Source organism: Homo sapiens, chromosome 22 (genome assembly GCF_000001405.40).
Source record: "Homo sapiens chromosome 22, GRCh38.p14 Primary Assembly".
In the NCBI taxonomy this organism is placed as follows: Eukaryota; Metazoa; Chordata; class Mammalia; order Primates; family Hominidae; genus Homo; species Homo sapiens.
Genome location: NC_000022.11, coordinates 24266925 through 24282942, shown reverse-complemented (window position 1 = coordinate 24282942; position 16018 = coordinate 24266925). Strand labels below are relative to the sequence as shown.

General features: G+C 44.1%; 1 protein-coding gene, 1 long non-coding RNA gene and 1 pseudogene across 4 annotated transcripts in view, besides 3 other annotated features; 1 reads left to right on the top strand and 2 right to left on the bottom strand.

Moving 5' to 3' along the window:
• The window catches only part of SPECC1L (sperm antigen with calponin homology and coiled-coil domains 1 like), a 146908-nt gene extending 134796 nt beyond the window's left edge, over window positions 1-12112 (bottom strand). For 2 of the 3 annotated variants that reach the window (NM_001145468.4, NM_001254732.3), the window contains exon 1: window positions 11960-12112. The gene's annotated coding sequence lies outside the window, so the exon portion shown is untranslated. Of the gene's footprint in view, window positions 1-6139; window positions 6244-11959 lie in introns of all 3 variants that reach the window. The other variant, NM_015330.6, reaches the window with a different exon arrangement.
• Window positions 1-12126, bottom strand: part of SPECC1L-ADORA2A (SPECC1L-ADORA2A readthrough (NMD candidate)) — a 171544-nt gene extending 159418 nt beyond the window's left edge. The window contains 2 exon segments of the long non-coding RNA NR_103546.1: window positions 6140-6243; window positions 11960-12126. This is a non-coding gene — a long non-coding RNA (SPECC1L-ADORA2A readthrough (NMD candidate)).
• Window positions 7770-7819: an enhancer, noted in NCBI's record as "active region_18768". NCBI's record gives its function as "activates an Ori minimal core promoter by ATAC-STARR-seq in GM12878 lymphoblastoid cells {active_cell/tissue: GM12878}" and the evidence as "EXISTENCE:reporter gene assay evidence [ECO:0000049][PMID:35858748]".
• Window positions 11654-11733: an enhancer, noted in NCBI's record as "active region_18767". NCBI's record gives its function as "activates an Ori minimal core promoter by ATAC-STARR-seq in GM12878 lymphoblastoid cells {active_cell/tissue: GM12878}" and the evidence as "EXISTENCE:reporter gene assay evidence [ECO:0000049][PMID:35858748]".
• Window positions 11794-12323: a silencer, noted in NCBI's record as "silent region_13547". NCBI's record gives its function as "represses an Ori minimal core promoter by ATAC-STARR-seq in GM12878 lymphoblastoid cells {active_cell/tissue: GM12878}" and the evidence as "EXISTENCE:reporter gene assay evidence [ECO:0000049][PMID:35858748]".
• RPS10P29 (ribosomal protein S10 pseudogene 29) lies at window positions 12755-13649 on the top strand (annotated as a pseudogene).

The following is a 16018-nucleotide window of genomic DNA, read 5'->3' as shown; positions in this document are numbered from 1 at the left end:
AGCCAGGCATGGTGGTGCACACCTGTAATCACAGCTATTTGGGAGGCTACGGCAGGAGAATTGCTTGCACCCAGGAGGCAGAGGTTGCAGTAAGCTGGGATTATGCCACTGCACTCCAGCCTGGGTGACAGGGTGCGACCCCGTCTTAAAAAAAAAAAAAAAAATTCAAAACTCAATGTAACTCACCACATTGTAAACTAAAACAGAAAAGCTGTATGATCTTCTCAATACACACAGAAAAACACTAAACAAAACCCAACATTCATTCCTTATTAAAAAAATACAAAACTCCACACAGAGGATAACCTACTAAACCTGACAAACAGCATATATGAAATACCTGTAGCTAATATCATACTGAATGACGTAAGACTGAATATTTTCCCCATAGGATCAAAAATGAGACAAGGAAATCCACTTTTACCACGATTGAAACTGCCTTTACAAAATTATGACTGAGACAGTGAGAGATCTAACTTAACTGACTCCATCTTGCTTCTAACCTCCCAGTTGTCCTTGCTCATTCCTGGGTGTAGACTGAACTAACTTCGGGAGAAACTTATAGTTTATAGTTTAAAACAAAGATGGTAACAGCCCTTTCCCAAAGCAGACCTCCTTCTTGCCTGGGCACCAGACTGCCTTCGTAGGACTCACATTAGACACAAGATTAGAAATTATGGTTTAGGAGTCACGCAGCTGAAGGCTAAAGATTCTGACCCTCCCTAAACTGCTCTTGAGATCAGTGCTTGAGAAATTTTGCAGACCCTGCACTTGATGGATCAGCTGGCACCATCCAGATCGATTAACTGGCTCATCTGATCTTGTGGCCCCCACCCAGGAACGGACTCAGCTCAAGAAGAAAGTTTCAACTCCTTTTGATTTCACCCCTGACCAATCAGCACTCCTGGCCCATCGGCTTCCCCCCACCTACCAAGCTGTCCTTAAAAACTCTGCTCCTCAAATGCTCAGGGAGACTGATTTGAGTAATCATAAAACTCCAGTCTCCCACCCAGCAGGCTCTGCCTGAATTACTCTTTCTCTATTACAATTCCCGTCTTGATGATTCCGCTCTGTCTAGGCAATGGGCAAGGTGAACCCATTGGGCAGTTACACTTCTATTCATTATGTACTTAGAAGTTCTAGCCAGTGCAGTAAAGGAAGGAAAAACAAATAAAAGGCATTCAGAGTGGGAAGAAAAAAGTACAACTGTCTTTATTCACAGACAACATTGACAGAATAGCCAATGGAATCCATCAAAAAGCTTTGAAAACGAATTACATTAAGGTCTCAGGATACAAGATTAATACACAAAAACCAAGTATTATTTTTATATATTAGCAATGAATAATGGGAAGTTGAAATTCACAGTATCAAAATATATGAAATAGAAGTAAATCTGACCACATCCCTTCAAAAAACTGGAAAGATTTGTACACTGAAAACTACAAAATATTGTTGAGAAAAATTAAAGAAAAACTAAATAAATTGAGAAGTATACCATGGTCATGGGTTAGGAGATTCAATTTTATTAAGAAGTCAATTCTTCCCCTGAAATTATCTACAGAATCAAAACAATCCCAACAGAAATTCCAGGAGCTTTTTTGTAGAATGTGACAAGTTGATTCTAAAACACAGAAATGCAAAGGACCTAGGACTGATAATTGTTGAAGGTAGGTGATAAATACATCACTTGGTATTTCACTACATTTTTCTCTCTACTTTGTAAATGTTTGAAATTTTCCATAGTGAAAACATGTTTTGAATAAAAACTCAGATGCTTCCAGGAACACATATAAATACAAAACATCCTTCCTTTAAAATTTTCATTACATTACAAAAATGGTTTCCTCTTACATACTACCTTAAGTCTAACTCCCTGGCTTGGCTTCCCAGGCCCTATAACCAGTCCTCTCTGCTTCCTGTTCCTCTGTAACAGGGGTAAACAAACCACAATCCGGGGCCAAATCTGACCCATCACTTGTCTTTTTTCAGCCCAAAAACTAAGAATGTTTTGCATTTTTAAATGGTTGGGGGAAAAAAAATCAAAAGACTATTTTGGGCTGGACACTGGCTCATGCCTGTAATCCCAACACTTTCGGTGGCCGAGTAGGGTGGAGAGCGTGAGCCCAGAAGTTCAGGAGTTCAAGACCAGCCTGGCCAACATGGTGAAACGCCGCCTCTACAAAAAAATACAAAAACTAATGGGGGGCGGTGGCAAATGCCTATAGTCCCAGCTACCTGGAAGGCTGAGGTGGGAGGATCACTTGAGCCTGGGAAGTCAGGGCTGTAATAAGCTGTGGTCATACTGCTGCCCTCCAGCCTGAGCAACAGAGTGACACTGTCTCAAAAAAAAAAAAAAAAAAAATGTTATTGAAACATAGTCACATTCATTCACATCTGTAGTGGCTGTGGTTACTTTTGCACTACAATGATGGAGTTGATTAGATGCAACAGAGACCTTAAGGTCTTCAATGACTAAAACATTTACTGTCTGGCCCTTTACAGACAGTCTGTCAATCCCTAATTTATTATATGCCTTCTTCTCCCTCAGCTAACTAATTGCCTCACCCCAGGAATGTTCATTACTACCTCTTCTTTGTTCAAGCCCCAGCTACTCCTCAAAACCCAAAATTCCCTTCTTCCCCTTTCCCAAATCCTAACCATATCAGCAGTTTGTGTGGAAGTAGGTAAGCAAAACACCATTCGTCATTATGTAAAGCAAGGCATTGGAGATGCGGTCCCTACATGTACAAGGGGAGGCTGATTACCCCCCAATTCATTTCCAATTTCTCAAAGCAGGTTGGCAGGCTAGCACCTAGGAAGGAGAGAGTGAGCAGATGATGCAGACAGAGCACTGAGAAACTCCTCAGTAACTCATGAGAGTTCATGTGTCAGTCCCCTTGTCTGCTATGTCATCCTTTAGACATCAATTCAAGACAGCAAAATTCAAAAAAGAAATGAGGAAGAAAAAGGTGATGAGGGGCAGAAGGAAAATAGAAGAGAACTTGTCACTTCACAATGTAGAGACTGTCACAAACTGTGGTGAATGGAAAACTATTCTGTTCACCTGGGCGTGGTGTCTCACGCCTATAATCCCAGCACTTTGGGAGGCTGAGGCGGGCAGATCACTTGAGGTCAGAAGACCAGCCTGAGCAACATGGTGAAACCTGGTCTCTACTAAAAATACAAAAAATTAGCCGGGCATGGTGGCACATGCCTGTAATCCCAGCTACTCGGAAGGCTGAGGCATGAAAATCACTTGAGCCCAGGAGGTGGAGGCTGCAGTGAGCTGTGATTGCACCATTGTTGCCCTACAACCTGGGCAACAGAGCTAGACCTGTTTCTAAAATAATAAATAATAATAATAATAATTAAAAAAATAAAATGTACATTTCTAACTTCATTTCAAAGTTAAGGCCAGGTGCAGTGGCTCATGCCTGTAATCCCAGTATTTGGGAGGCCGAGGCAAGGGGATCACTTGAGCCCAGGAATTTGAGACCAGCCTGTGCAAAATAGTGAAACCTTGTCTCTAAATTAAAATAAAATAAAAAGTAAACAAAGTCAAATTTTTTTTAAAAATCAGAAGAGAAACGTTGAACTGCATACTTCCAGGCCCAACAGAGTAGAGGTCAGCACAGGCGCAACCAGGTTGCATATCTACATACAATCTGCCCTGGCAGGAAGGATATCCTTTTCTTCCAGGTTTAACCACTCTAGGTGACCCAGATTATTTTAAATTATAGCGTCAACAATTTAAAGCAGCTTTTACTGTAAGGCACAATCTCAATAATTAATAGGGCAATATAATAAATACATAAAAGCTCAGGGAGAAAACAAGACTCTTGAATGGGCCTGGAAGTTTTGCCACGTCCCCCGAAGTACTCTCGGTTGCATCCTTCGGAACCTTTCAACACATATACATATACCTCCCTCATCCTTTTGTGAAGAGTGTCTATTAATCACTAGATTAAGAGGATTTGGATAAAATTTATAAACGTACAAACTGTGCTACCAAGGACTGACACATTTACTTTTCTGGCTCATCAGTTTATGTCCTAGAAAAACTCCAGATCCACATTAACCAGCTGTTTCCTATTTTACATTTTACGATGGTGTTTCCACTTTCACCTGCAAAGTGACTAATAGTAATACCTATTCCAGTAATTTAAGTAACACCATTTAGAGTAATTTCATCTTTAGTACTGTATTTATACTACTAAGAAAGCTGCCAACGATTCAAGCTGCACTCACTGGTGAAACCCTATGCTATATATGTAATTAATTTATTTCCTAAATTCTTACCTCCCTCCACCCCCTCCATTGGAAAATAAACTCTAAGAATGCAAAAGTTTTTGTGTGTTTTTCTTTAACGCTTAGAGCAGTGCCTGGCACCTAACAGTCAATATCTGCTAACTTTGATGAATGAATGGTATATTTATATTATGCAATATTACTATGCAGCCATGAAACACAATGAGTTAGAGTGGTACCAGCTAATTTAATGGAATTTCCAGAAGTATGAAATTAAGAAAACAAGAAGAAAAGTGTCAAAAATATCATCCCACTTTTTTTTTTCTTCCCTGAAACGGAGTCTTGCTCTGACACCCAGGCTACAGTATAGTGCTGCCATCATGGCTCACTGCAACCTCAAACTTCTGGGCTCAGGGAATCCTTCCACCTCAGCCTCCCATGTAGCTGGGACTACAGGTGTGTGCCACAACGCCCAGCTAATTTATTTTAAATTATTTTTTGTAGAGACAGGGTCTCCCTATGTTGCCCAGGCTGGTCTCAAACTACTAGGCTCAAGTGATCCTCCCACCTCAGCTTCCTGAAGTGTTGGGATTACAGGTGTGAGCCACTGTGCCCAGCCTAATCCCACTTTTTAAAAAGTATACCCCCAAATCCATACACTGGTGAGGAAGTGGAGAACGTGGAATCCTCATACACAGAATTTAAAATGGTACAGCTCTGGAGAACATTATAGCAGTTTCTCAAAGTGTTTAACATAGCTACTACACGACCCAGCAATTCAATTCCCAGATATACACCTGAGAGAACTGAAAGGATATGTCCACACAAAAATTTGTAGAGGAACTTGTACACACTTGTTCACAGTAGCATTATTCTTAATAGCCCAAAGTGGCAAAAACGCAAATGTTCATCAACTGATGGACAAATAAAGCATGAACAACTGATGGACAAATAAAGTATATCATTCAGCATATAAGAAATGAAGTGCTAATACATGCTACAACAGGGACAGACCTTGATAACATTTTGCTAAATGAAAAAAGCCAAACAAAAGGTCACATGTTGTATGATGCCATTTACATAAAAATACCTAGACTAGGCAAATCCATAGAGACACAAAGATCAGTGACTGCCCAGAGCCAGAGGGAGTGGTGAATGTGAAATGACTACTAATGAGTACAGACTTCTTTTTGAGGTATTGAACATGTTATGGAATCAGATGGTGGTGATCAATGCATAACTTTGTGAATATACCAAAAACCACATGAAAGGTACACTTTAAAAGCCTGAATTTTAAGGTATGTGAATTATATCTCCATAAACCTGTGATTTTGTTAATATACGCTTATTTGCAAATGAATACATGGATAATGAGGAATAATATGAAAGGTTAATGACAACCTTGGTGATAGGGTACCGGAGACTGGGAGAGGAAGATAAGTGTTGAGGTAGAAGAAGACAAAAAATAAAAGACCAAAACAATAATCCAAAGCCAGGGGCCATGAGTTGGGAGATGGAGCAAGACGAAGTGTACAAAGAAATGAGCATAAATCATAAAAATGAGGGAACTAGGGTTGAAAAACCCAGTAAGTAGTTTGTAATGGGGGAGACGAAGCAAACCTAAGTAACTGCAATGATTCAACAGAATTTGCAGAAAATGCAGAAGGGCGAGAAAAACAATGAAAAAATGGATCAGAAGATTTAAAATTGGCTCTACCCCACCAAAGTTTTAAAAAGCAAGCAAGAAGAAAATTCAGTTGCTCCTGGGCAAGAATTCTTGGGCCCAGTGGGGTAGAACCAAACCATGATAAGGAGACACCAGTGTTTTGTAAGCAAGAGAATATATTAAGGAGAGAAAAGGGGCATTTATTGGGAGAAAAGGTCTCACTGTGATTGTTCTGGAATAAAGTAGCCCCATCGGACTGCCTCAGGAACTCATGATGGAAGAGGTGCCACTGGAAAATGGCTTAGTCGGGATCTTCCCCAAGAACACTAGAAGAGAGAGAGGAAGAATAGAATAGCTTTAAATTTTAGCAGATATTTCTTTTTCTTGTTTAATTAAAATAAACCTTATTGACCTAATATTTTTGAGACTGGGCTCTTGCAATGCTGCCCAAGCTGAACTCAAACTCCTAGGCTCAAGAGATTCTCCCACTTCAGCCTCCTGAAAAGCTGGCACTACAGGTGCGCACCACTGGGTCCAGCATAATGGCTATTTCTTGACAAATCTTGACAATGCCACCAGTATGTTTTTCTTTAGAGACAGAGTCTCGCTTCGTAGCCCAGGCTGGAGAACAGTGGTGTGATCCCTAGCTCACTGCAGCCTCAAACACCTGGACTCAGGAGATCCCCCTGCCTCAGCCTCTCAAGTACCTGAGACCACAGGTGCGCACCACCACACCTGGCGAATTTTATTTTTTTTTATTATACTTTAAGTTCTAGGGTACATACACCTGGCTAATTATAAAATGTTTATCTGTACAGACAGGGTCCCGTTATGTCGCCCAGGCTGGTCTCGAACTCTCGGCCTCAAGCAGTCCTCTCCTCTTCACCTTCCAAAGCCCTGAAATATGCCCACATCCAGCCTGCCACCAGTTTCTTTGCATACTTCTTTCCTAGGCTTGACCAAGACCTTTACTTTCTTCTGTGTACAGCTCAGCATTGAAAAAAAAAAGTTTAGGCTGGGCACAATGGGTCACACCTGTAATCCCAACACTTAGGGTGGCCAAGGCGGGAGGTTTGCTTGAACCCAGGAGTTCCACACCAGCCTAGGCAAGATGGCAAGACCACGTCTCTCAAAAACAATTTTTGTAAAATTAGCCAGGTGTGCTGGTGCGGGCCTGCAGTCTCAGCTAGTGAGAAGACTAAGGCAAGAGGAACCCTTGAACCCAGGAGTTCAAGGCTACGGTGAGCTGTGATCACCTCTCCAGCCTGGGTGATAGGGTGAGACTCAGTCTCTGAAAACAACTAAAAATAAAAAAAGTTGAATAATGAGTCTTCTTTTTAGAGGCAATGTATTTTTCCTCTTTAACTTTTTGTTTTCCTTAGGCTATATGCACAATAGACAAAGTTGAAATTTAATCTTAATCTCTTAAACCCTTACTGTCCAAACACATCAAACTCAAAAAAAAAAAAAAAAGGTGAAAGGTGTACAAGAGAAAAAAGGGAAGTGATCTGTGTCAAATGTACATTCCTTCCACAATTTGGGATAAAAATGATGCCTACCTGGTCTCTGGGTGCCAAAATAAGACATTAGAGACACTCCCCTCCTTCAAGAAATAAAATTGGAATCAGACACTAAGGTACAATTAAACAGACTTTGAAAAGTTGGTACGCACTACTGGGAGGTGTCTCACAGCTGTCAGGGTCAAGTGCAACTAGAATAAAAGCTCCTAAGGGCAGAAACTAAGTGGCTCACTTCCTCTGTAACACTGCCGTGCCCAGCACTGTACCAGCACCCCAGCAGAGTCAACAACTTTCTGTCAAGCCACACACTTACGGTCTCATTGTCCAGTGGAGGCCGCAGACGAGACATAGTGTGCCAAATCCCAAATGCACAGGGTGCCAGACAAGTCTGCAGGAGGCAGGAGGACTAGGGAAGCCTTCCAGGCAAGGTGATGCCTGAGCTGAGTTGTTTTTCTTTTGAGTTTGGAACATTAATTTAATCGGAGGAAAACAAGGGACATGAAAAGGGCAAGGAAATAAGAAAATGAGCTGAGTTTTGAAGGCAATGATCAGATGAAGTGAGAGAAGAATATTCCAGCAGAGGGAGACAAGGAGACTGCAGAGATTTCAAGGGGCCAAGAGCTGTTCAGTGCAGCTCAGTGAAGCACCTAAACAGAGGTAGGGGAAGGAGAACAGGGGTCAAAGCCCAGTATTGAAGTGTTCTGGATACCAAGCTAAGGAGACCTTATTACGAAGGTACTGGGGCTGCTGAAGGGTTTAAATGGGAAAGTGATTGTGAACAGATTAATAGTTTGGAAAGATACAGGCAGAAGTAAACCTCTGGATTTAACCAAAAAATAAAGGACAGAACCACAATGAAGATGTTTGGAAAAGATCAGGAAAAACACTGTTAAAAGATATTCACTCTCTTCTCTTATTTACAGATTTCCTTTATGGAATACCAAATTATTCTTTGAAAATAGAGAACTCAGAAGTGGCTGAGAGCAGTCAGTCAGTCTTCAGAATGTAAAAACTACTATTCTGAAGAAGTAGATATTACATTATTAATTTCATTTCAAGATGCTTTAAAAACGTGCCTTTTGATACACTGCAGGTTTTTTAAGAGTATGTCACAATAACTCTAAATCTTACTTGAAATTAATAGAAGAGCACTATAAATTTTAAAGGCTTCACAGACACAGGGATCATCTGTTATGTTCACTTTGGAACAGATCATAATTGTCCCTCCCTCTCAACATACCCAAAATACGTTGTTTAAGGCTACTTTCCTAATGGTCATGTTATTTCACAGTAAAAGACTGAGGTCACAATGATTTCTGAGCTGACAGAAAACCCCATGGGGGTTCTTTACCTCGCATCTAGTCTATTCAGTACTAACAATTCCAACCACCAGAAAGAATTTCCCTGCCTAGGCTTATTTGTTGGCACAACACAAAAAAATCTCCTGGGGCTGGGTGAGGTGGCTAGTGCCTGTAATCTCAGCACTTTGGGAGGCCAAGGCAGGCGGATCACCTGAGGTCGGGAGTTCCAGACCAGCCTGACCAACATGGAAAAACCCTGTCTCTACTAAAAATACAAAATCAGCCAGGGGTGGTGGCACATGCCTGTAATCCCACCTACTTGGGAGGCTGAGGCAGGAGAATCGCTTGAACCTGGGAGGCGTAGGTTGCGGTGAGCGGAGATCATGCCATTAGACTCCAGCCTGGGCAACAAGAGCGAAACTGTCTCAAAAACAATTATATCTAATAAAAAAGATCTATTTAACAATGATCAGAATAGGAACATCTTTAATGCCATGCAAATTTAACAGCTTTCTCAGTGGATTTCTCAGTAGACTGTGACCAATGATCTCAAAATAAACTCATATTTACTCTTAAGAAATACTCTATATTTGAATCTTCTTAACAGCAAAAGCCCCAGGAACTTTTTCCTGAACTCCCTAACAGCAGCAGGAAAACAAGAGATTCTCGGCTCTCTTTATTTTTAAAAATCACAATAACTACCCTTGCATTTACTATTTACGTTTACCATATATCACCATTTACTATCACCATCATTTCATAAAAGATGCTTTATTTTAACACCAAGAAAGCAGAACTTTTTTAAAGAAAAGATAGTCCTTCAATTGAATAAATTGAATTGTATAAAAGACTCCCAATATTGTCCTTTTTTTCTTATTTCTGTTCCCTTACTGAGCTGAGCAGTTTGCATAATACCACACACAGGTTAGTCATGTGATTTAAATATGTATATGATAGTAATTTTGATACTATCACTTAAGTCATTCGAAATATCAGATGCACTGTGTGTCAAGTCAGTTATAGAGAACCACTGCTTCAGAGAAATCACATCTGAGGAAGAAACACCGCAGATACACCTCCTAAAAGTTCACCTTTGAAACAGAAATTTTGATACAAACTTCACTTTAACTACAACTGTAATTGTAATTATTACAGTTATTCTCCACTCACTAGATACTGTACTTGACACTCACGTTATTTAGTTGGCTACCAACGTGCACCTGTGATAAAGCTTTCCTATGGCACAACATTCACTTTCTTACTGAAAATGTCAAGAAAACCCCTACACACCTGCAACCATTAGGAAGCATTCTCCAGCTATCAAAAAAGTCACTGAATCGGCTAAGCGACTCTGTGTGGTATACACTAAATCAAAGGGGAAAAGGTGTTTTTTTGGAGGAAAAAAATACTGGATTAGCCATTTATTGAAACAATTTTACCCACAACAATACTTCTCCTTTCACTATATACCCTTCTATGTTGGTTTGGTTATTTTACAACATACATGTATATTGTAATAGCTGTTTTTTTTTTTTTTTGAGACAGAGTCTCACTCTGTCGCCCAGGCTGGAGTGCAGTGGCGAGACCTCGGTTCACTGCACCCTCTGCCTCCTAAGCAATTCTCCTGTCTCGGCCTCCCGAGCCGCTGGGATCACAAGCGTGTGCCACCACGCCCGACTAATTTTTATATTTTTTGTAGAGACGGGGTTTCACCATGTTGGCCAGGCTGGTATCGAACTCCTAACCTCAGGTGATCCACCCGCCTCGGCCTCCCAAACTACTGTGATTACAGGCGTGAGCCAGGGAGCTCGGCCTTGTTATATCTGGTTTTTGTTTTTTTGAGACGGAGCCTCGCTCTGTAGCCCAGGCTGGGGTACAGTGGCGCGAACTCGGCTCACTGCAACCTCCGCCTCCCGGGTTCAAGCGATTCTCCTGCCTCACCCTCCTGAGTAGCTGGGATTACAGGCGCGCGCTTTTTGTATTTTTAGTAGAGACAGGATTTCACCATGTTGGTCAGGCTGGTCTTGAACTCCTGACTTCAGGTGATCCGCCCGCCCCGGCCTCCCAAAGTGCTGGGATTACAGGCATGAGGCACCGCGCCTGGCCTGGTTTTTAATTACGAAGAAAAAATTACTATAGTCCCTTTGGTATCACCTACATTGGCAAAATTGCAGTCCCCCTCCACTCCCTGAAGCCACCAGAAATGACTGCTGTTGTCTACAAAGCCTACAGCTCTGATTTCATCTCAAGATGTGTCCTACTGGGTGACAGCAAATGCCATTTTTTAAAGGCTTGTATCTGTTATAAGCTTGGGAAATATTATCATGGCTTAAGAGGCTCTTTTGACAAAAGAAAACACTGTTCCCTGAAATCACCTGGGCTGTTCACGGGAATCTTTTCCTCGCCCTTCTGGTACTTGGACAAATGATCAAGGATATCAACAAATCAAGGTTCCCCGCATTTGAATGATCACAGAATTTTTGCGTGTTCTGTAAATGGGCTAAAACTACTGGAAACTGATTTCTTTTCGTCATCTCCAGGGCAGCTTGCCCAACGTGCCGCGACTATGATGTCTTAGACTTAACTACTTAAGGTAATACAATTACCAAATTCCTGGAAACGCAAAATTTCCTCAGACAGGTACCGGATTATTCACATCCAACCTGATGCAATTAACCACGTCTCAAGAAAAAAGGACGTTCCGTCCGCCTCGGGCGCCGGCCACAGCAGAAGCAGCACCGGCAGCAGGCCCGGGGTCCGCCGCCTGTGGCCCCTGCTCCTCCGCTCTGCGCCCTCGGGGCCACTGAACAACGCTGTCCCCGCCCCAGGCAAGGGACCCGGGCGATGGGGCGGCAGCCCCAGCCTCTCCCGGAGCGGCGGAAAGGCAAGCACGAGGGTCGCACCCGGCCTGTCTGCACACAGTCAAGCCGCAAGCGGGGTCCCAGAACCAGCTGAACCCCAACACCAACGGACGAAGGCCAGTGGGTCTCGGCGGCGAAGCCTGCGGGTTGTTCCAGAAGCCCCGAAGCCCAGAACGAGGACGGCGCGGGAAGGGAAAGGCGCAGGCGCGGGACACACTGGAGGGGCCCAGGAGCAGAGACGGCGCAGGCGCTGGGCCTGCCGGGGTCTGCGGGGACGCCCGGGCGCGGCAGCGCGGGCGGCGCTGAGGCGATAAACCAACCCGCCAGCGAACACTGCGGGAACCCGGCTGCTGCTCTTACCGCGCTGCACCGCATCGCTCCCTCGCAATCTCCTGGTTTGGGCTGGGCGGTGAGCTCACCCGGTGGCTCAGCCGAGACCCGTTGAGTCCGGCCTCAGGAAAGCAGCCTACCCCGCAGCGCCGCTTGCCGGGCCGCCCGGCCTCCCTCGCGGGCCCCGCCCTTGGCCAGCCCCTTCGCGCCCAGCAGGGCTGCGGCCGTCTGCGCAGGCGTCGTGGAGGCCCCGCCTACATTCCTTCACTGCGCAGGCGCCGCCGTCCCCCACCACCACCCCCTCCCCTTCCCCCATCTCCGGCTCGCGTCCGTCTCGGCACTGGGTCGCGCAGCCGCTCTGCCACTTGGCCGGTCAAGAAAGTAGCCGGCCAGCCGGTGCGCATGCCTCAGGTCTTGGGCTGGAGCCGGGCAAGGCGGGTCCCTTCAGAGGCCCCACTGGGCCCAGCGGAATGATGCTCAGAGTCCGCTAGTCCCAAAAGTTCTCCTCAGCGTGTTTACCGTGTGCCAAGGACTGTGCTATGCATGAGCCAGACAGCAGTGAGGAAAACACAAAGCCCTGTCCTCCTGGCACTCCCGGTACATAAGGGAACAGACAAAAAGAATAAGCGAGCAACATATATGTATATATATATGTATATACATATATATATACGTATATATATATACGTATATATATATGTATATATATACATATATATATACGTATATATATATGTATATATATGTGTATATATATACATATATATATGTATATATATATATATATATATATAAAATATTAAAGAAATTCTGGGGGAGTTCGAGTTCCATCGGCCCCCATCCGGGCCACCCTGCCACCTTAGCGGCTGCTCCTCCCCAGAATGCTGATGCCTAAGAAAAACCGGATTGCCATTTATGAACTCCTTTTTAAAGAGGAAGTCACGGTGGTCAAGAAGGATGTCCACATGCCTAAGCACCTGGAGTTGGCAGACAAGAATGTGCCCGGCCGGGCGCGGTGGCTTAGGCCTGTAATCCCAGCACTTTGGGAGGCCGAGGCGGGCGGATCACGAGGTCAGGAGTTCAAGACCAGCCTGGCCAAGATGGTGAAACCCGTGTCTACTAAAAATACAAAAATATTAGCCAGGCGCGGTGGCAGACACCTGTAATCCCAGCTAGTCGGGAGGCCAAGGCAGGAGAATTGCTTGAACCCAGGGGGCGGAGGTTGCAGTGAGCCGAGATCGCGCCCCTGCACTCCAGCCTGGGCGACAGAGTGAGACTCCTCTCAAAAAAAAAAGAATGTGTGTGCCCAACCTTCCTGTCATGTAGTCCCGAGGCTACTACGTGAAGGAACAGTTTGCCTGGAGACATGTCTACTGGTACCTTACCAATGAGGATATCCAGTATCTCCGTGATTACCTTCATCTGCCCCTGGAGATTGTGCCTGCCACCCTACGCCGCAGCCGTCCAGGGACTGGCAGGCCTCGGTCTAAAGGTCTGGAGGGTGAGCGACCTGCAAGACTCACAAGAGGAGAAGCCGACAGAGATACCTACAGAAGGAGTGCTGTGCCCCCTGGTGCCGACAAGAAAGCCGAGGCTGGGGCTGGGTCAGCAACCGAATTCCAGTTTAGAGGCAAATTTGGTCGTGGACACCGTCAGCCACCTCAGTAGAATTGGAGAGGATTATTTTGCATTGAATAAACTTACAGCCAAAAAGACTTAAAAAAAAAAAAAGAAAAAAATTGTATTATGTCGCAAATGAACCTGTTGCAATGATCATACAGGTTTTTTCCTTTGATAGTTTGTACTACTTTAATAGTTTTTTCTTTTATTACATAATCTTAGTTTCCTAGGAAAACCCCAACTTGGTCGTGATACATGTTTAATCCATTGCTGGATTATTTGCTAATATTTTATTTAGCGTTTTTGCATATATGTCCATAAGAAGTTAGTCCATACTTTTGCCTCCTTGTACTATTTATGTCTGGTTTGGTTTTAAGCCTATACTAAATTCACAGTGAGTTGGGGAGAATTCCATTTGCTTCTTTTTCTGAAAGATTATCTAGGCTGGGCACTGTGGCCTACGCTTGTAAAACTAGCATTTTGGGAGGCCGAGGTGGGCGGATTACCGGAGGTCGGGAGTTCAAGAACAGCCTGGCCAACATGGTGAAACCCCATCTCTACTAAAAATACAAAAAATTAGCCGGGCACACCTGTAATCCCAGCTACTCTGGAGGCTGAGGCAGGATAATTGCTTGAACCTGGGAGGCAGAGGTTGCAGTGAGCAGAGATCACGCCACTGCACTCCAGTCTGGGCTACAAAGCGAGACTTTCTGTCAAAAATAAATAATTAATTTTTAAAAATTATGTAGAAGATAAAAACTTTATGTTCTTTTTAATGTTTGCTGTCCATAAAATCATCTGGGCCAGGTACTTTTCTTTGGTTTTGTTTTTTTGTGAGATTTTTGAGGGGATGGGATACAGATTTTTTTTTTTTTTTTTTTTTTTTTGAGACGGAGTCTCGCTCTGTCGCCCAGGCTGGAGTGCAGTGGCACCATCTCGGCTCACTGCCAGCTCCGCCTCCCGGGTTCACGCCATTCTCCTGCCTCAGGCTCCCGAGTAGCTGGGACTACAGGCACCCACCACCAGGCCCGGCTAATTTTTTGTATTTTTAGTAGAGATGGGGTTTCACCATGTTAGCCAGGATGGTCTCGATCTTCTGACCTTGTGATCCGCCCACCTCGTCCTCCCAAAGTGCTGGGATTACAGGCTTGAGCCACTGCGCCCGGCCGGGATACAGATTTTAAAATAAACATTCAATTCCTTTGATGGTTCTAGATCTAGACAAACTTTTCTGTTTCTCCCTACTTCGTTTTTATGAAGTTATATTTTTCTTTTGAGACAGAATTTCTCTGTTGCAGTCACGTGATCTTGGCTCACTGCAACCTCCTCCTCCCAGGTTCAAGTGATTCTCCCGCCTCAGCCTCCCAAGTAGCTAGGGTTACAAGCATGTGCCACCACGCCCAGCTAATTTTTGTATTTTTGGTAGAGTTGGGGTTTTGCTATGCTGGCCAGGCTGGTCTCGAACTCCTGAGATCAGGTGATCCACCAACCTCGGCCTCCCAAAGTGCTGGGATTACAAGCACCCCACCTGGCCTGAAGTTGTATTTTTCTATAAAACTGCCTGTTTTGATATTTTAAAAAATCACTGGCATAACGTGGTTTATGTAATGTCCTTATGATTTTTGTCTTAATACTGTTTATTTATTTTATATATTTATTTAGAGATTGAGTCTTGCTCTATTGCCCAGGCTGGAGTGCAGTGGCCTGATCTTGGCTCACTGCGACCTCCGCCTCTCAGGTTCAAGCAATTCTCGTGCCTCAGCCTCCTGAGTAACTGGGATTATAGGCACCCACCACCACACCCAGCTAATTTTTGTGTGTGTGTTTTGTTGTTGCTGTTGTTGTTGTTTCTTTTTGTGAGACAAAGTTTTGCTGTTGTTGCCCAGGCTGGAGTATAATGGCGCAATCTCGGCTCGGCACAACCTCCATCTCCCGGGTTCAAGCAATTCTCCTGCCTCAGCCTCCTGAGTGGCTGGGATGACAGGCATGCGCCACTACACCAGGCTAATTTTATATTCTTAGTAGAGATGGGGTTTCTCCATGTTGGTCATGCTGTTCTCGAACTCCTGACCTCAGGTGATCCGCCCGCCTCAGCCTCCCAAAGTGCTGGGATTACCAGGGTGAGCCACCACACCTGGCCATTTTCATATTTTTAGTAGAGACGGAGTTTCACCATGTTGGCCAGGCTGGTCTCAAACTCCTGACCTCAAGTGATCTGTCAGTCTCGACCTCCCAAAGTGCCAGGATTACAAGCGAGAGCCACCGCACCCAGCCTAGCCACCACACCTGGCCCATTTATTTCTAAATAGACAATACATTTGTATATTTCAAAATTCAGAAGGCACCATCTCAACCCCATCCCTATTCCTGTAGTTTCTCAGATACAACCAAATAGATTCAGTTTCTTGGTATCTTTCTAGAGATAGTTTATGAATATAAACAAATATCCAAATAAACAAATATGTTCTT